The sequence below is a fragment of the Homo sapiens genome, chromosome 3 (assembly GCF_000001405.40).
Source record: "Homo sapiens chromosome 3, GRCh38.p14 Primary Assembly".
NCBI classification, from domain to species: Eukaryota; Metazoa; Chordata; class Mammalia; order Primates; family Hominidae; genus Homo; species Homo sapiens.
In genome coordinates, this window is record NC_000003.12 from 56450072 (window position 1) to 56470846 (window position 20775).

The following is a 20775-nucleotide window of genomic DNA, read 5'->3' on the forward strand; positions in this document are numbered from 1 at the left end:
TTCATCTGTGAATGCCATGATGTGAATCAGTAAGGGGAAAGTCCAGCTTAATACAGCAGAGATTTTCAAAATTGCTTTCCCATCATTCTCCAAAAAGCTCTATGAAACTCAAACACGCCTATCCACACATCAGTACTCTCTCCTTTAGTTCCCCCAAACTCATTTTATAATTACTGTTTTCCATGTGTAGATTTAGCATGATTACATGTTCAGCTGCCTTGGCTCATGTTTTATGGCAAGGTACTTGAGTCAAGAGGCTGACTGTCTTCCATACTACAAGGCAAGGGCTCTGCATGCCCAAATATTAGTTAACTGTTCTTTCCATTAACCATTTCCATTATTTAAATTTCAGACTCCATCAATTTATTTCAAAGTGTTAAATTAAGGATCTGAAACCCCTAAAAATTTTGTTAAAGTAATAAACTATTATCTAGTACACAGCTAAATCCACAAGTTAAAAATATAGCAAAACAGCCAGGTGTGGTAAGCTCATGCCTATAATCTCAGCATTTTGGGAGACCAAGGTGGGAGGATCACTTCAGGCCAGGAGTTTGAGACCAGCCTGGGCAACATGACGACACCCCATCTCTACAAAAAATTCAAAAATAAATTAGTCAGGTGTGGTGGTGTGCAGTTGTAGTCCTAGCTACTTGGGAGGCTGAGGCAGGAGAGTAGCTTGAGTCCAGGAGTTCAAGGCAGCAGGGAGCTATGATCACGCCGTTGCGCTCCAGCCTGGGTGACACAGAGAGACCTTATCTCTAAAAAAATAAATAAATTTTAAAAATGGCAAAATCCCAAACAATAAACAGTAAAATTAAGAAATAATTTGAGATGTTAAATAAAATTAAAATAAGTGACGTTTAATAAAATATGCTGATTATAACAACATTATTCATCGCCCCATAAAGTCTCATAAATAGAACAAATTAAGTAGTTGCACTGAAAGAATAAATAAGGTTTTCAGATTCGTTTTTTAAACATCTATGCATTTCCTTTCATCTGCAAATGTAAAATGTCAATTGGCAAAGCTTCAGTTATAGTATACTTAAAAAAAGAATATTCAGGAATTATTGGGTCTTACACTAAAAAATCTTCTATCTGTCAACTAACAGACGTTTCTGAGAAAATGATAGAGAGATAGAATAAAAACTCTGCCCCCTTGGCCCTAAAAATCCAATCACACAAAATTTTGCTACATTTATAATGGCATAAGGATTACGTGTAAATAGCTTTTTACTAGAAAAGAATATAGGCATAATCACATACGTGAGGAAAAATTTTAGCAAAGATTGTAAGCTATTAAAAAAAAAAGACCACAATCAATGAGGGATGAGGAATGGCTCCAATGGGCAAATTATGGAGACAAGCATTCATCTATGTATTCTGGAAAGAAGAGAAAGAATAAACGTTACATCCTAAATCTGAGGTCTCTCAAAAATATGACTGATAACCATGAAAGAGTCACATTGGAGGCTTTAACAAGGATCAAGTTCAGGGTGCTGAATGGTATACAGAAACCCCCTTAACAATGGAAATTAGAGTAAATGAGAGTCAGTAAGTGCAGTAAGTAAATCAAGTAATTGAGTCAAATCTCTTGTCTATGAATGGATAATGGTAGGCTTATCTAACATAAAAATAAATAAAAAGGGAAATTACAGGACATAATTCGGATCTATTCAACAAATACTTCTGGAGAACAAATCTGTAATGTGGTTTCTGACATGATAGAGGTCCAAAGCCTTCCATTTAAAAGGGGGTCACAGCCTCTTTACTCAGGTTCACATTAACAACTCTAATTGTTGTGCAAGGCTGCCAGTTGCTGTGAACACCAGAAACAGATGAGGGCCTTTCTGGGAGTGATAGAGTGTGGTCTCAGATGGAGAGAGTCCTATGGAAAAAAGAGTGTAGTAACAGACAGGGAAAATCCAGTTTTTTAACCTGGACAAGAACTAAGGAGGGAAGTCAGATCCATAGTTATGCATATTAAAGAATCTGCAAATCTCATGAGAATTTAAGGCTTGTTTTTATTTCAGAAATCTGAAAACAAATAATGTAAGGATATTCTTGATCAGCACAGCACCATGCCCATTGACTTTGAATATCAAGCTGTACCCTAAGGAATCACTGAGTCAATGTGAAAGGAAATAAGATGGTCTTGGGGATCTAAAGGATGTGTTCTCACTGGGTGAAAGGTAAGGATTGTCAAGTTCCTCAGAAAGAATGAAAGTTTCACAGAAGTTGACTATGATGAATATGGTGGGAAAATTGAATCATCACCCAGTGCACAGCAGGGTAGACCAGATGATGCCAAAGAACCTGTCCAGAATAGTCAGCATCACATTCTAATTATAAGCAGCAATTTAGTTAATGCAGTTAAATTAATGTTATGAATTTGAATTAGTAATGTCATATGACATATACTCTATTTCTAAATTGATTTAGGTTTTAAAAAGGTGTAAGAGCTTTAAAATAAAACTCACCAGCTTTATGTTTATACAATTTAAAGTATCATTACATAATAATAATTTAAGCCAACCCTGGGGTTCTACGAGAAATTATTTTCATTAAAAAAGATATCATCTAAGTCTGAGAAACCTTGGTTAAGTGATTAAGCATACACTGGATTTGAGACCTGAATCTCACATTTATTATCTGTTTAACCTTGAGCAAGTTAGCAAACCTCTCTGAGCCTCAGTAAGTATCTGAGTAACAATGGCCTCAAGTGTAACAATGGCTACTTCACAAAAATAAGGTGAATAATGATTAAATCAGAGAAGGCAGAAGTACTTAGCACAGTGCCTGAGGCTTAGTAAATACTCAGTACAATCCTCATCATCATCAATATTGACCACAGGCTCATTGTGTTGTTTTCTTACATTAGACCCTTTCTTCCTCATGAGTAAAATAGAAATAACAGCGTTAAACATCTTGCAATGGGTCTAAAAAAAGTAGTTGATTAAAAAGGTTGCCAAAAAAAAACTTTGCACATGCAAGTAAAACTTTAGCCCATGCATTAAATTGCATCATGTGTTCAACATATTCACCATCCCCCTAGCCTGCCCATCCCTACAGTCTCCTTCCTGTGGGAAGATAATCTTTCCTGCTCCAATGACATCTGGCTTGGCCGTATGACTTGTTTTGGCCAATGAAATGTGAGCAGAAGTAACAAATGCCATAACCAAACAGTAGCTATCAGAGCCCTCTTGTGGGTAAAACATTCTTTTTTCTTCTCTACCATGAAGATAGGCTGTCCAAGAAAGGCTCCTTCAGCCTGTGTCCCAGAATAAAGATAACATGGAGCAGAATCACAGACAACCCCTGAGAGAAAGAAGCCACTGAGATTTGGAGGTCCTTTGTTAGCCCAGCACAACCTAGCAATATCTGACTAATAAACCCAGCTACCACAAACACAGTGCTAAAACCAAATATGTAACATTTAGATTAAAATATAGGACAGTGCTTTCTCACTGATTTATCTCTCATTTCTCTCTTCCTCTGCAGATTACCAAACTAGGAAATATCATCCATTCCATGACAGAATATCTTCTGTTAGGTCTCCAGATAGATGCAAATCATTTGTAAATAATTTATTTTCAGATACAGATGCATACAACCAACTATTTTAATTGCCTCCAAATGTATTCTCTTTATCATTCCTGACCACTGATTTCTTTACTGACAAATAGCTGCTCCTGGTGCTTGGACATCGAGATGAAGGCAATCACTGGAAAAGCCGAAAGGAGGATAAATCCTGCTAGGAGGTGACATAGTTGTACAAACAATCCAAATAGTGAATGCCAGCGAGCATCAATGGGCGTGGGCTGGACCTCGTATGATCAGTACACATGTGAGTGCCTGTCCTGGAGCACAGCCCTAGGAAGAATCCAGCTGTAACTGACCCAAGCATGCCTCCACACCAAAAGAAAGGCAACACATGCACCCACCTCCTGCTATCGTGATTCCATCTTATAATGGCTGTGTGACTTACAGATTGCACCAACTGATGACCCTGTCTTCACTTGAACCTTTTGCAAAACAGATGATTCAACCCTGTACCTTCCTTAAAGGCAAGAACTATGTCTTCTTCATCTTCATATCTCAGCACTAGTTTACACTTGCAATTAAAAGGCAACTCAATGTAGAGCAGTTTAAAGCATGGGCTCTGAAGAGTCCAAATTCCAGTTTCTCCACTTACTTAGGTTAAGATCTTGCAAGCAGATGCTCTAAGTGCCTATCGATGTCCCTCTGACCTGAACATTTTAGAGTGCCCCAAAGGCACTGCCAATATCAGAATCTCTGCCTGAGAGTATCTTTTAAACCTGGATAAGCTAGTCTTCCCTTGCAGGGTGTAGAAGTCCCAGGGTTAACCACCCTTAAAAAAAAATCTGACAGCTATTTATACAACAGTGTTCACAACCGCATTATTCATGATAGCCAAAAGGTGAAAACAACCGAAATGTCCACTGATGTTGAATGCATAAAGAAAATGAAGTATACACATAAAATGGAATATTATTCATCCTTAAAAAAGAAATGAGGAGGCCAAGGTGGGTGGATTATATGAGGCCAGGAGTTCAAGACCAGCATGGCCAACATGGCAAAACCCCATCTTTACTAAAAAATACAAAAATTAGCCGGGCATGTTGGCATGCACCTGTAGTCCTAGCTACTTGGGAGGCTGAGGCACGAGGATCACGTGAACCCGGGAGGCAGAGGTTGAGAGGTTGCAGCGAGCCAAGACTCTGTCACTGCACTCCCACTTGGGCAACAGAGTGAGACTCTGTCTCAGAAAAAAAAAAAAAAAAAAAGGAAATGAAATTCTGATACGTGCTACAACATGAACTTTGAAAACATTATGCTAAGTGAAATAAACCAGCCACAAAAGCTCAAATATTGTCTGATATCATTTATATGAGGTACCTAGAATAGTCAAATTCATAGAGACAGAAAGTATAATGGTGGTTTCCAGGGGCTGGGGGAATGTGGAGTTATTGTTTAATTAGTACCTAGTTTCAGTATGGGATGATGAGAAAGCTCTGGAGATTGATGGTGGTGATGGCTGTACAACATTGCAAATATACTTAGTACACCAAACTGTGCACTTTAAAATGGTTACAATGGTAAATTTTATGTTATGTATATTTTACCACAGTAAAAAAATAAAAATAATTAAAATAAATTTAAAAAAAAGAAAAGAAAAAAAAACAACTGACATGAACTAGTGGTGAGACATCCCTACTCTCCTAGCCTTTGTGTAAAAATACCCTAAGGCAGGTGTTTTACACTATCTCTACAATTTCCTTATGGGATTAAACACTAGTTGCCATTGCACAACTCGCTTAACAATGCACCATCTATTGGCTGCCTTCACTTCCCTGTCTCATATCCTCATTCACTCACTAGTGACCCCCTGTAAGTCCCAAGTAACTATTTGTCTCAGGGTCTGCTTCTGTGGGAAAGTCAACTAAGACACCAAGGCAAGTTTCTTAATTTCTCTAAACATTACTTTCCTTATCAATAAAAATAATACTTAGATCATGAAGTTATTGTGAAGATTAAACGAGATAATTCTTCAAAGTACTTAGCACAGTGCCTGACTCATAGTAGATACTTAATATGATCTTCTTGAATTTCTGGTCTAACAATTATCCACCTTTTTTATAGAAGATAAACTACGTCTCTCAGTTTCAGGAAGAGACTAAAAAAATCTAAGAGCCAATTCTTTCCCATCTTCTATTTAAATAACATCTCTCATGACTTAGCACTCATCATTCAACCAACCACAAGAGGTATTAGAAAGAACTGGAATTTTGTATCCAGCTCAATCTTTTGCCTAGAGGTGGGCTGAGCCCACAAAAAAAGTTAGATAAGCTCCCCAGATAGCAAGAAGACCCCCCCAGGACAGACAGATAACCACCACTCCCTCCTGACCTAGGGAATTAGAGGGCTGTGGGGTCAATTGTAAACAACTTTGATCTGGTAAATTTTATGCGTATCCCTTTCTCTCTTTGGTTACAAATGTACCCTCCTAAGGTTTATGGCAAAGACTAGAATTCATTTAGTCTTTTTCTAGTTCCACAGTGCATCATTTTAACAAATGAAACCATGGGATCATGAAATTCCCAGTGAGGTGAATCCTTTGCCAAATGCCATTTTATTTTGCTTTGATTTCTCGTTACTTGTTTGCCAAAATACACAGAGATTTTATCACAATAATCACCTATTCTGACTAGCAAACCAAAGGATTAGGTTACATACTCTGGTGGACTCATAAATAAGACTGATGAGAAATCCAATTTCTGTCTCTTGCTTTTGTAGAAAACACCTTTCTGAATATGTACTTTTTAAAAAGCTGAACAAACAAAACTTACCTTGACTTACATGTTAAAAAGGGAAGCTCTGTTCCCCAAAACAAATAAATGATAAAATCCCAAATTCCATCTTGCTCTTTAATATAATCCCTAAAGCTTTTTTCCAACATTTCATACATACATAGCCTTTAACTTCACTCACAACTATAAATAGTTGGCCAATTTAAGTTCAAAGCATCTGACTAAAGCTAACCACTAGCCATATTGGGCATGCCTAATGGTTTCAATGTTTGGCTCAATTACATTATGAGCTAAATAGTTCTCCCTGTATTATTGCCTACAGTTTTCCATTTTCCACTTATAAATTAATGACAAAATTCAAGAAATATTCAGGTGATTGCACAAACTGTTGTACAAATATGGTGATGCTGATGAACTAAAACTACTTGTCGGCAGGTAAGGTCATGGTACAGTAGCTCAGAATGGTGGTTCATAAGCTACAGCACAGAAGATTAATGTATGAAAGGCAATTTAACAGTGCTACTGTATAATGTACAAAAGTGTAAATCATATCGAAGTAAAGTAAGAGGCAGACACTATGCACGGGATATTGAATAGTGTTCTAGCCCATAACTCCCAATCTTGTACATTTCAAGGAATAATGAAACTATTTCCATTCATGAACTTTCTCAGACCCCTTTCAGAAGCTGTACACTATGAATTACTTCAAGTATTTCCCTCGATTAATCTAACAAAGTCAGTTTCATTCTGCCCATTAAGTACAAAGATTTTGAAACACAATGTGTACTCTCTGTGCTCTGCTTAAAATTTATTGAAATGAACTTTGTCCTAGGTGATATTGGGAGAGAGTCTCAAAACCAACAAGTGATGTGGAGTCCCACTGCAGATCTTTCACCAGCAGATATTTTTCCTCACCTGGAAAATGGTCTTTCAAAATTATTAAGGCTGTATAAATTGTGTTTGGTCAATGAATCAGAATGGACATTGCTAGGAGTCCCAAAGCCATAATAATCAATCTTTCTATTGTTCTTCAGGTCATCTTGCCACCCTCTCTTCCCAATGTCAAGTCCCACACTCCCACAAGCATCAAAAGTAGGTAATTATTGCCATGACGGTGAAATAAAAGGAGAATAAAGAGAATTCAGAGTCCTTGATCGTATCCGTCCCCTACTTGAAATCTCTTGAAGTTTTAAGCTTGAGTCCCATCTCCTCAATGGCTCACAGGGTCTTATGCCCTGTCACACTCTCTGGCTCCTCTCACCATCCCTCATCCTGAGCCAAGCTAAACTCCAGCTCTACAGTTCTACCTACATTTACCTCCGTGAACCCTGAATCTCCCATTCTCTCGCTTACCTTTGGACCTAGTGCATGCTATTCCCCCTGTTATTTGTACCTTCAAATCCTCCCTCCTCTGGCTAATTCCATTTACCCTTCAGTGACACTTTAGGTGCTACTTTCTTCAGGAAGCCTTCCTTCATTCTTCATCCATGACTCTCCTAAGTCTTCCATGATAGCCTGGATGTTCCCCCAAAGAGCATCCATTATTGCCTGCTTACTTGTTTGGTGCTCCACTGGATACTACAATCCCTGAACTCCCCTACAAAATTACCTGCTCTATTATGGTCCTCTTGACGTGTACACACCCTATTCCCAGAAGAAGACTGGCACAAAGCAAGCATACACTTTTACGACGACTACATAACAGAATGGCTTAATTCTTTGTTACTAATGTCTATTATGAAAGAACACCAGCCACTCCTGTTTTCCAGGTTAAAATAACTAATAAAATGATAATTACTTAGTTGAACCTTTGCATGAAGAAACTGTTGTAAAAATATATATATAATAGATCTAGAAGAGTGCCTTTGAAGCAAATTGGACTAGATGATAGAGAAACAGAGATCCCAAATAAGGAGAAAGCTAGTGGCAAAGCCAGAAAGGGAACTTAGGGCTTGTGACCCCAGGTCAGTGCTATGTCTCTGTATCCAAAAGAATCTGCTCTGAAGTTATTCTAAGCAACTATTCATGTTGTGAATTCAAGGTGGCCCATGAATGCATTCAAAGCCCATGTATAAAAAGAGAGTTATTTCTCAGCTTTAACAAAAAAGGTGAAGAATTCCCCTTGCGTGCCCACACTAACTGCTCCACGCTCACAAGCCTGATGAACAGCAGCCACTAAGACCCAGGTGCTTTTGTATCCACCCAGCATCAAACAGGACCTATTTTCAACAAGCCCATACGAATGCCACGCTGTTATCCCACTCACTACCCAACCTCCTGCTTCCTGTCAGGGAGAGGCTTCATGAACAATACGAATAAAGGGTCAAAATGCGAAACAAAGAAGGGGGAGGAGGGAATGTTACAGCCTTAGAAGGGAAGGAAAAACATACATCACCAGAAGGAAAGAAAAGACATCAAAAATCCTCTCCTGAGATGTCAATGTAAAAAAAGAGTCAACAACCCTGCTCCTCTCGGAACCCGCCCCTTGAACCACGACTGCTCCTCGAGGTGATGACAGCTGGAGCTGGCTGACAAAACGGAGCATGGCTAATCTGCCTCAAGCCAGGCACAAGAAAGACATCTTGGTAGAAATTTGATGCCCACCAGTATCACTGAGAAAATAACCAGTGATCATGGGACCGCCCTAACCTCACATCTGGCAGAGCTGCTCAACTCTCACTGCCAGAGCAGCTCCCAGACCCCAAACCCACCTTCAATCACCTCAGGCCCATAGAGGATGAACTCCTGACCACACCTATCTTATTATAGAGAAATATGCCACATAAGAACTGGTAACCACAGTGCACAACTAGGTTCAATTTCTTATAGGAAACCCTGCTCTTTCTTACTGCAATTAGTCATACCATTTAGCAGAAATCTTTCACGGTTTGCATAAGGATCTGAGCATATTCTTAAAGAACAGTCACATTGCTCAATTCCCATTCAAGCTCTTGTCTTCTGACCCACTAAGAAGTTGCCTTGAATTAATAGTTTGCTCCTAATGCATTTAGGGTAAATGCACTTTGCTGCCTGCAACTCATTCATGCCCTGAAATCACAGAATGACAACTACCTTTAGGGGTGGAAAGTATTAAGACAGGAAAAGAGAGCTAATGCTATCAGACCACACACACACACACACACACACACACACTCACACAGGATAATTAAGTGAGCAAAATGTAGACTCTGAAAAATAAACCATAGCAAAACTAAGTTGCTGGTATAAGATGTCTATGAACATTGCGGCTGGCCTTTGGTTTTCAGGTATATCTCACAGATGCCCTTCCAACTCTTCATCCAGTGGGGCTATAATCTCACCATTGACTTCCAGGAAAAAATAACCACTTAGTTCCTTCCTGAAGGTTCTTCCTGCCTTTATTTATTTTCTTCTCTTCTTCCATGCACACGCACTCTCTCTCTTTTTAATTTTGTTGAGTGCTGATTAGGTGCCAGCAACTAGAGATTCCTGGGCTCTGACCAAGCGAACTCTGCTTGGCAGAGTCAACATGAGTTCAAGAACAGAGGAAATGCAACTTCAAAGCAACAAATCTGGAAGATGTAAGTGGAGAAGTAATGCCCAAGAGGTTAAGAGCAGAACTTTGAGGCACGCCCTGGGAATTGGCCAGCCAAGTGCTGAAGAAATTAGGCTGGAGTAGCAGATGAACTGGCCCAAGAGAAGGGTAACCAATTATATTAACAATTAAGTCAGTGATGTAGTGGCCTTGGACTTCCCCAGCTGAAAGAATGAGCAGAAAATCACAAAGAAGGCTCGGCCCTGGCTGTGAAAGTGAGACAGCTTAGAGCTCCTGGTGCTTTTGGCATTGACAATGGTTAAGGCTTGTTGGTTGTTTCTGTTGTAATTGTGGGGCCACTCATTGTTTCTACTTTCTCTAGTGATAATTTAGCAGCCTTGAGAGTAAGGCAGAGGTGGATTCAAACTCTGGCTCTGCCACAGCATTAACTCTGAGCAAGTTTTTCTGTTCCTTCAGTCATTTGACAAATACTTACAGAACATCTAGGCACTAGGGATACAGCCAAAGGCAAAGCTCCTGCCTTTATGGAACTTATCAAATTATTTGAGTCTCAGTTTCCTCACCTATAAAATGGGATAATACATTTACCTGTATAGGTAATATGAAATGAGCAATATAAAGCACCTAGCACAGTGCCTACCACATAGTAAATGCTCAATAAATGGTGCTCTTCATATAACAGAGCAAACGTATCCATCACTTCCAACTGGAGTATTAGCTCCAAGTAGTAAGGAACTATCTGTTGTTCATCTCTGTACCCCCAGTGCCTAACACAAAGTAGATACTCAATAAATACTTCACAAATCAATCACTACTTAATAACAGCCATTGTTATGGTAACTTATAGTCATTATTCCTCTCTAAGCCACAGAGATTCTATACTTGAAAAAGCAACATGGCGGCCTAGCGTGGTGGCTCACGCCTGTAATCCTAGCACTTTGGGAGGCCGAGGCGGGCGGATCACGGGGTCACGAGATCAAGACCATCCTGGCTAACACGGTGAAACCCCGTCTCTACTAAAAATACAAAAAAAAAAAAAAAAAGCAAGATGGCATAAAGGCTTTTTTTTTTTTTTTAAAGAACAGTGAGGTGCACTATACAATATGTCTTCAGGAACTTTTTAAGCATGAAAACAAATGTTATTGAGCATAAAGCTTTCAATTCAAAGAATCTATTAGCACAGAGACCAGCACGGACAGCGGATGTAGATGCCAGCCCACTCTTTTCCTAACTACAAAGTAAGGACAAGCTGGCCAGGCTTCAGGTTAATCCAGAAGGCACCCAAAAAGTAAGTTACATAAAGTTTAGCAGATGTGCTCAAAGATGGTGTATCAGTAAAGATAAGCAGAAAAGTGCTGCAGAAACCAAAAATCACAAAACTCTTCATGGCTTAAAACAACCAAAGTTTACTTCTTGGTCTATATGTCCAACTCCAGTTGACGGGAAGCTGTGTTCATTTAGTGACTGAAAGGCCCAGGCAGATGAAGGGCTCCATCTCAACACACATTTCCGTAATCATTGCAGTAGAAGAGGGCACTGGGTGCTCTCACACTGGAAATCAAATATTCTAGCATGGAAGTGATGCAAGCCACCTCCAACATATGCCTGGAAGGAAAGAAAAAGTGGCTATGGGGAACATTAACAGTCTCTACCACAGATGATATTAAGACACAACCTGTGGAATAACAAAGGGATTTGTTAAAGATGATGCACAAATAAAACATCTGAACAGCTATAAGATTCACATAATCATGAACCAGGAAGGGTGTGTAGGTGTCATTTTAGAGCAGTGGCCTCAACATAAAGACACTTCATACAACATAAATCTGGACCCTAAATTTCCAGAACAGCTCTGCTTTCTATAAATATACTGAGGGTCCAGATAAATTTTTATTTAGGAAACAAAGTTTTAACAGCTGAAAAACATTTGAAAACTATGAATGTAAACCAAATCCTTTATTTTACAAATTTAAAAAGTAAAGAGAAGAAAAAAAGGAGACACAGACAGTTAAAGTAACCCCAATCTACCCCTCAAGGAAGGTCTAGAATGTTTAGCAGAAATAAGTCCATGGACAGAATCTAATGTACCACTGCAGCACCTTCTGACCTTACCCTTCATCTCTGCTACCTTTAACTGGCACAGTGGAGCCAGACCCAGACCAAAGTCATTTAATACAAGGTCGTCAAGGGCTCAATAAATGGTATTGACAATGAGTAGAAGACCCCACCCCACAGCATGAAATAGTGATTCATATCTCATTAGCAATTCTCTACATTACTCATTCCCTACTTCTGGGCAAATGTGAAGCCATCAGTAGAAGTGAATACTAGCCTTCAGGAGACTTTCATTTTGCTCTCAGATGATCATAGGTTAACAGCAACTATGATTTGGGTTCACTCAATTCCATTATCTTCTCATGTCCCCAGCTCTGTTTCATGCCCAGTTTTCCCTCCACCTTCACTCGTACTAAAGCATGTATGTCATGCACTCAAGCCTCAGTGGTCTCCCAACCTCTGGTCTCTGTCTTTTTCAATGGCTTTATACTCACTAGCCCATGAAATCAAACTCAAATATTTCAACCAGGAATCCAGATGCCTCCTAAATCTTAATCCAGCCTAATTTTCCAACATTATCTCCACTATGGTACTTGTCCTGCACAGCCAGAGGCAAGATGATGATCCTGAAAGTCAAAATGATGTTGTTTTGAACCCCCAATGCTTCTACTTACTGGTTGGGCAAGTCCTTAACCCCTCTAAGTTTTAATGTTCTCACCTGCAAAATAGGTGATAGCACCTACTTTGAGGGTTTTCTTGAGAAGGTATGTATCAGTGAGGAGTATGTGCGGCTGCAAGTAATAAGTAGTGGCTTACAAGTAAAGAGCTTTTTAGTTTTATGCAATAAGAACTACAGGGGAAGGCAGTCTAAGCTGGTACTATGAATGAACGATGTCACCAAGACCAAGATCCTTCCAGGCTCCAGCTTTGCCATTTGTAAGACACGATTTTGGCTGGGCATGGTGGCTCACACCTCTAATCCCAGCACTTTGGGAGGCCAAGGCAGGCAGATCACTTGAGCTCGGGAGTTCAAGACCAGCCTGGGCAACATGGGGAAATCTCATCTTTACAAAAGTATACAAAAATCAGCCAGGCATGGTAGTGCGCACCTGTAGTTCCAGCTACTGGGAAGACTGAGGTGGGAGAATCACTTGAGCCGGGGAAGTCAAGGCTGCAGTGAGCTGAGATCGGTGCCACTGCACTCCAGCCTGGGTGACAGAGTGAGGCCCTGTCTCAAAAGCAAACAAAAAAAAACAAAAACCATGGCTTTATCTTCATTGTTGTAGTTGGCTGCTGCCCCTCCAGGCATTGCACCAATGATCTCAGCAGCAAGAAGTTAAAGAGCTGAAAAGTTCTTGGAGTATACCACCCACGTGTGTCTCACTCACTACATTTTCAGGAAAGCCTCCACCCAAAAACTTCCACCTATGCCATTATCAGACCCAACTCTCATGGCCACTCTAAGTCCAAGGGAGTCTTGGGAAGGTGAGGTGGGCTTATTTCCATCTCAGACAAAATTGGGGTTCTTTTAGTTGGAAAGGAGAAAATGAATGTTGGGTAGGCAACCAGCAAGCCTACCCAATATTAAATATCTTATGGAAAGTGCTAAGCACAGTGCCTAACACATAGTTAACTGCCCAATAGAAGTTAAGCTATAAATACTAGTGTTATAATTATTATTGTTGTTGTAATTCACCTTTCTTACTCTCTGGCCAAGTGGAATAACTCATTATATCCATGTGTGCCCCTACATTTTTATGGTATCCATTGCTCTATCTGCATCTCCAACTCTCTCCCTGCTTTAAGGTCCAGGAAAATGCCATTGCATCCAAGAAGTCCTTCCTTACACCTATTCCTAATGATAAGTTTCATGGTGGCAGGACCCACATCAGAATAAAACTGTGTTCACCACTGCACTGAACATTGTCTCTTGGAACACAGTAGGTTCTAATAAATAGTGCCTTAATAATTTAAGTAATTCATGTGTATACACAAACCTGTTTTATAGCCAGCCCTCTAAAATCAAACAGAGAATATTCCTGAAATGCAGAAGTTAAGGACCAGGTTTATATGTCACGCAGCTAGCAATGGGAGTGAGGGGATGAAAATTGCATTCCCCAAGAAAAAGAAAAAATTAGAAAATCCTCTAACCATAATTTTTACATGCTGTTGGAAGCTGGATGATAGTTCATCAAATATTCGCTCCCTTACTGTGAACAGAGTCTACGTTTACAGACAAGTGTTGTCCAAAATAGTACTTTTCCAAAACAGGTTATTAGTGAAAGTGACATTTGCTCGTGTAGTTTGCCTCTTGGCTCCAGTGATCTGCCAGGAGAAAAGCATGCCCCAGGTAGCTGCCATCCCTTCAGCCTGGGCCCCAGGACACATGTGGAGGAGACTGGAACCCAACCCACAGCCTCTACACAGCCACCCCAAGGAGCCCAACCTATACCAGCCAAATCACGGTCAACCTGAAGACCCATGAGTGTGAAAATAAATACCTGTTGCTGTAAGTCAGGGAGTTTTGTTACACTGCCAAAGCTGACTAATATATCTTATCATTTGATATATGTTAGCATGTCTTATATCTTCATTCATTTTGTTCCTTTTCTTCACATAAGAAGAAGAGGTTGTAGAGTCTCCATGTTTTGTACATCCAGTGAGTTCTACCTTTGGATCAACTATTTTAAATTTATGAGATCTACATTACCATGAATATTGGTGCTTTTCTGTGCTTTCCATTCATCCTATCTTTCTAAACTAAGAAAATCACAATAAAATATAAAGGAATAGTGTAAACATTGCTGAAACTGAAACTGTTGGCTGGCAAGTAGATGCCCCACGGACCAGCCAAAATGTTAACTGGTTAGAGGATTTTAAAAAAAGAAAAAAGAAAAAAAAAAAGGCTAGAGGGTGTCCTAGTAAAACAAGCAAATGCAGATTGTACAAAAGTCAACCTAACCAAAGTCAAAGACTCTTTAGGTAAATTTGTGGACTGCAATACCATTCACCTTATTTTTCAGGATACCTGTTTTGGCAAACCTTCACCACTGAGTTTCACCAATGGGAAGAGACTGATAAGGCTTACATCTTGTAGCTTTTCCAACATAACAAAACAAGAGGGGCCGGTCATGGTGGTTCACACCTGTAATGCCAGCACTTTGGGAGGCCAAGGCAGGAGGATCACCTGAGGTCAGGAGTTCAAGACCAGCCTGGCCAACATGGTGAAACCCAGTCTGTACTAAAAATACAAAAATTAGAGAGGCATGGTGGCGGGCACCTGTAATCCCAGCTACTTGGGAGGCTGAGGCAGGAGAATCACTTGAACCCGGGAGGCAGAGATTGCAGTGAGCCAAGATCACGCCACTGCACTCCAGCCTGGTGACAGAGCAAGACTCCATTTCAAAAAACAATAAAAAATAAAATAAAACAAGACGGTCATGCTATTACAAAAGAATAATTTTAAATATCATTATACCTAATCACTAATGGAAAAGGGTCTCTGTAAATAACAAAGAAAATAAAACCCTAATCCCTTGGTGGGGAGACAACTGAAGGATGTTAAGAGCATTTATTCAACCAAGATCTATTTAAAACTCTAATTGGAAATTTAAGGTGTCAAGAAAAATGGAAGAGTGTGAATTTTGTTTTGTTTTACCTTCTTTTAAGTCATCATCATTAAGTTTGGAACCAAATTTTTATCGAGCCAAAATTTTTATTTTATTATGTGTTATATTTTTTATATTTTATTATGTTTCTACTGGAAATATATAATAAACAGAGTTACTAAATTTGCCTATTGGCCCATGCCACAGCCTTCAAATGCAAAGGCAAAACAGGCTGATAAAAGGACTGTCAGAATCACAGTGGACTCTTAAAATGGTTAGCTCTACGTATGCTGGGAGAACCCACACTTCAGACTGGACACATGCAGACTACACAACCAAAATTTGAAGTCAAGGCCACGGCCAAGGTCATGGGCTCTGGGTAAGACGAACCCGGGCTCAGGTTCTTGCTTTCATACTAAACTGTGGCAAGATACTGAATTCCTTCTAGTTACTCATCTATAATTTGGGCGTAAGAATAGTACCTACCTCACAGGGGCTCCACAAGGTTTAAAAAAGATAATGCATATAAAGTACTCAACAAAGTGCTTGCCTATGCAATAACAATGATGATGATAGTAATAGTAATAATACTGCTTTGACAAACCCGGCTTCTACATGAAAACCATTCTAATCAGTATATTCTGGCTCACAGTCTGTTTATGAAAGGCTTAATTCACAGAATTATGTTCACATCCAGGTACAACTTCTATAAAGTGACAGCTCTTTGGATCAATCAGTAATTTTTCTAATGAATTCAGGGAGAAGGGTGTTGAAAAATCAGGCTTTCACTAGTAGTGAGTTGAGATGGATCTGGTCCTTCACCCATGATTCATCCACCCGTGAAAGTCTTGCTGGTGAAAACCATGACACCATCACCTTCCACACCCCTCCCTGCCAAAACTGTAAAAGTATTTTATTAAAGCACAGAAGCAAACAGACAAGATGGCTTACATGAGAAAAAGGCAAACTCTACTACTCCCCGGAAAGAAAATGGCTTGACCCCACCACCACCGAACTGACATTCTGCAAAAGAGAACAAGGCAGCCCTCACTTCCAGAAGTTGAGTTAACTGTCAGAACTAAAAGAATCCCTTCTATTCATGTGACTCCCCATAAAGAACGTTTGCCGGCTCCAAAAATACCTTATAAATCCATCCAGTAGAGCCAAGCCCCAAGTACTGTATACTGAGAAACAATGTGACTTTACAAGGACAAGAGTGACCATAGGAGACAAAGTGCCACACCCTTTTCCCGGATAGCTCAACGGTACATGTTGTCTCTTATAAAGACTGCAATTCTGGAGAAATAGGTGGGCAATTCTAACACCCCCTCCCCCAATTCCTTCTTTACACAGATTCATTTTCATTTTTAAGCCAGTGGCCTCGGCATCCGCAACTACTACAACTAATAATCAGGGGGGTGGTGGGTAAGGGATGGGGAGGACAAGGAAACACAGGTCAAATATACTTGCTTCTAAAAGTCCATTTTCAAAGAGTTTTCTTCCCGCTTGTCTGCCTCTCACAGCTGTATCCCCATACCAGGTGGAAACCAATGGTTAAGTAAAATCACTGATTTAAAGAGCCAACCAGGAAACTAACCATGACAAGTGGGAGCTGCCCTCCTCTCCCGAGCATTGATTGGTTCTTTGGGTTCCACCGGTCCCCATTCTACCCACGTAAGTGGCAGGTGTGGCTGTCAATCACAGAGGGAACCGACAATTCACCGCTCGGGGAGTAAATTGCCTTTCATACAGCAAAGGCAGGTAGCCGCCTAAAATCGATCCACTCCTAAAAGAGCGGACCCTCCCTCTCTGGCAAGGAGAACAGAGACCCTTAAGTACAAAATAAATAAGGCAGGGCCGAACGGAGAGTTTACGAGCGCTATTTTATTACCCCGAACCAAAGCAGCTCTTAATCTTCACTGTCCTAAGACGATCTTTCAAAGGCTCGTACGGTATTTTTTTTAATTAGGTACACCTTCGTAAGTATCCCTTTTTTTGTATAATTAGGAGATGGGGAGGAGGAGAGAAGGGATGCCGTTCAGTTCAATTTCACATCGTATTCCTTTTCATACACCATCCCCTAGCCCTCCCCGATAAATCGGCTTCATTTTCCCTGACACGGGTTTTTTAAAAAAAAATATGCTCCCCTCTGAACCCACCCAGGCGGCCAGCCACCCCACCCCCGGGCGGGGGCTCCACCTTTCTCCACTTTGTTCTGCTTAGGATTGCTCAAGACCCCCGACCCCGCGAACACCCCACCCCTCGAGGCAAGAGGGGACGCCAGGCAGAAGAGGGGGATCTGAGAGAAGAAAGGCGATGGCAGTGAGGGTGGCTGCCGGAGAGGGACTGCGGGAGGTGGCCCGGGCAGCCGGGGCTAGCGAGCGGCGCCCGCGCGCTGGAGGAAACCGTGCACTTGTTCCAATCCGGGGGTTTATACATCAGGGCAAAGCCTCCCTTAGGCCGCCCCATCCCTCCCCCCGCCCAAGAAAGCCCCGTAGGAGGCGGATGGTTCACCCTTAGGCTCCCCACGATAACGCATTGCAGCTCCCCACGAGCGAGGGGGACCCGGCACGAGGAATGCCCGGGCACGGGCGCCCCGAGGGAGCCGGGCACCAGGCGGCCCCGGCCCCGGCGTCGGCGTCTCACCTTTCCGATGCTCGCCCCGGGGCCGTCCCACATGGATTTTTACAACCTCTCGTCGCCTTGGCCCCGGGCGGCCAGGAGGAGCAGGAGCCGGCGCCGGAGCCGGAGACCGAGCGAGCAGGAGCGGGAGGCGGAGGAAGAGGAGGAGAAGCGGGGCGGGGAACAGGGAGGGAGGAAAGAAGGGAAGGAGGAGGACACTGCTCGGAGGGCCAGGGCCAGGCGCGGGGCCGGGCGGGGCCGGCGGCCGAGGGGGCGGCACCCGCCGCAGTCCCGAGACGCGCGCTCGCGCGGCGCTGCCAGGCGCTGCGCTCGGCGGGGCCCCCACCCGGCCGGCCGGCACGCTCGCCCGCTCGCAGAGGCCCTGACTCACATTCCCAGCATTCCCGAGGAGCCGCTAGGGGGGACGGGGCTGGGGCCCGGGCGCCTCCGCTGGGGGCAGCAGAAAGCGCCCGGCATGGGCGGGGGTCTTCGCAGCGCCTCCTCCCGGCAGGCCGCGGCGCGAAGCACCTGTCCCCAATCTTCCATCCCCGACGCCCCTTCCCGGGTACCCCCCTCCAAAAGCTGCCAGGCACACTGGGAACTTGTCAGGTGGCTTTGGTGACAGGGGCAGGGATGGCACTTATCTTTTAAGTTAAGCATTGGAGTAAGGGGTCGTGGTTACCATACCCTGGCACCGTCCATCAGCTTTAATGTTCCTTAGGAGGTTGAAAGAATTTCATAAGATCTTCACTTTATTGTTCCCCCAAAGAAAGGACAGAATGAAAGATAAAGACAGGAACAAGAGAAAAGATCGCATCCGTCATATTCACTGGGTGCCTCTTCTGTGCCCTGAAATGTGCTTGCATTGTCCCAATTTAAGGTAGAAAGATGATGTCTGAGTTGATACGCGCGCACACAGGCAGATACACACACACACCTCAAGGTAATGAGCAAGAGGATTTGGACAAGTTTTTCATTGGAAAAAGCTTCCACTCAACAAGTCTGGAGCCCCAGCTGCTGCCATTTTATATTAGGGAGGGTACTGGGATAGCCATGGGCATCTTTAAACTTGGTCTCTTTCACTGAGTAGTCAATTTGCAGGGATAGAGCAGTCATTTCCTTCCTGTCCTGATGAGTCTGCTTCCAGCAATTTCAGTGGCCAGATCTAAATTTCTCCTGCTGGGAAGCTCAGACAAATAAAGCAAATCCAGCCATGGGATGTTTGGGTGCGCAGAGGCATAGAATTAGTACAGCGATTAGAGGATGGATCCTTCTTTCCTCCCCGATAGGAATTCAATTTTTTTTTTTTTTTTTTTGGAGACAGAGTCTTGCTCTTTCTCCCAGGCTGGAGTGCAGTGGTGCCATCTCAGCTCACTGCAACCTCTGCCTCCTGGGTTCAAGCAATTCCCTGCTTCAGCCACCTGAGCAGCTGGGATTACAGGAGTCCATCACCACGCCCAGCTAATTTTTGTATTTTTAGTACAGACGGGATTTCACCATCTTGGCCAGGCTGGTCTTGAACTCCTGACCTCAAATGATCCGCTGACCTCAAGCTTCTCAAAGTGCTGGCGTTACAGGCGTGAGCCACCGCGCCCCGCCGGAATTCAAATATTAAATGATTCCTGCTCAGGGAATCAGACTCTGAGAGACAAGGATGCCTTCCTGTTCCAGCCCAAATGCCTGTTCCTTAAGCCTGTACACCTCTGGTAGCTAAGGTTTTTCATAGACTCTCTTTGCCCTCATCCTCTTCTTTCTCTCTCTGAGAAATCAACACTCATTCTCCTGACCTAGATGCTCCAGGGGCAAAACCAAGCTCCACCTATTGTGTTTTGTTCCCCACATACATCCTTGACAGCCTCTGCTCAAAAGGCTTGTTGTATATGAGAGCCTTGTTGAGAGTCCTTTGAGAATTCCTAAAATCCCACATCTTTTGAAACGTGGCCAACATTTTTTAGTACCCCCCTCTGTGCAGGCACTTACATTTTCTCAACTATTCTCACAAATATTCTATAAGATGTTTACCAACTTTCAGAAAAGTTGGGTAACATACCAGGGTGATCCCATGAAGAATTTATTTAAATCAATGCCTGAGGTTCACTCTGGTTGGCCACCCATTCTCTTTTCCTTTGATCCGTGGGTTTTAAAAGGAACCCTTGACATTCAGGGGATCAATTTATTATGTACATGCTTATGTACATTTTTCCCACAGAGAGAAGATTCATGGTTCTCAACAGATTTCTTTCAAATTGGGTCCTTGACCCAGAAAAGTTAAGAATAATTACTTTAAATAGAAAGTGACTCTACATAGTAAAACGAAGAGTGGAAGTTATAGGAATCTTAAGCAAGTCATCTTTATCCTCTCTGGGACTTAGTTTTCTGAAAATAAAAAGCGGAACTAAAGAATCTTAAGATTGCTCTCAACTCTAACATTTTCTAACTTTAGGTTAAAATACACATATATGTGTGTATAGGTACACAAATACATACACAAACACACACACACACAAACAAACACACCCTCGCAATATGCTAACAAGTAGCCATTGTGAGATCTAACCCTTCAGGACAGAAAATTCTAAAACATATTATATTTTCTAAAACATGGTCTGTTGCTCCAGGGTTT

The 20775-nt window shown here is 42.0% G+C and overlaps 1 protein-coding gene across 20 annotated transcripts in view, besides 1 other annotated feature; it reads right to left on the bottom strand.

The window, feature by feature from the left end:
- Window positions 1-18396, bottom strand: part of ERC2 (ELKS/RAB6-interacting/CAST family member 2) — a 960157-nt gene extending 941761 nt beyond the window's left edge. For all 20 annotated transcript variants that reach the window (NR_132749.2, XM_017006156.2, XM_047447950.1 and 17 more), the window contains exon 1: window positions 18177-18396. The gene's annotated coding sequence lies outside the window, so the exon portion shown is untranslated. The remainder of the gene's footprint in view (window positions 1-18176) is intronic.
- Window positions 17050-17344: an enhancer, noted in NCBI's record as "tiled region #10072; HepG2 Activating DNase matched - State 4:PromP, and K562 Activating non-DNase unmatched - State 21:Repr". NCBI's record gives its function as "activates a minimal TATA promoter and a strong SV40 promoter by Sharpr-MPRA in HepG2 and K562 cells {active_cell/tissue: HepG2 | K562}" and the evidence as "EXISTENCE:reporter gene assay evidence [ECO:0000049][PMID:27701403]".
- Window positions 18397-20775: the final 2379 nt, after the last annotated feature.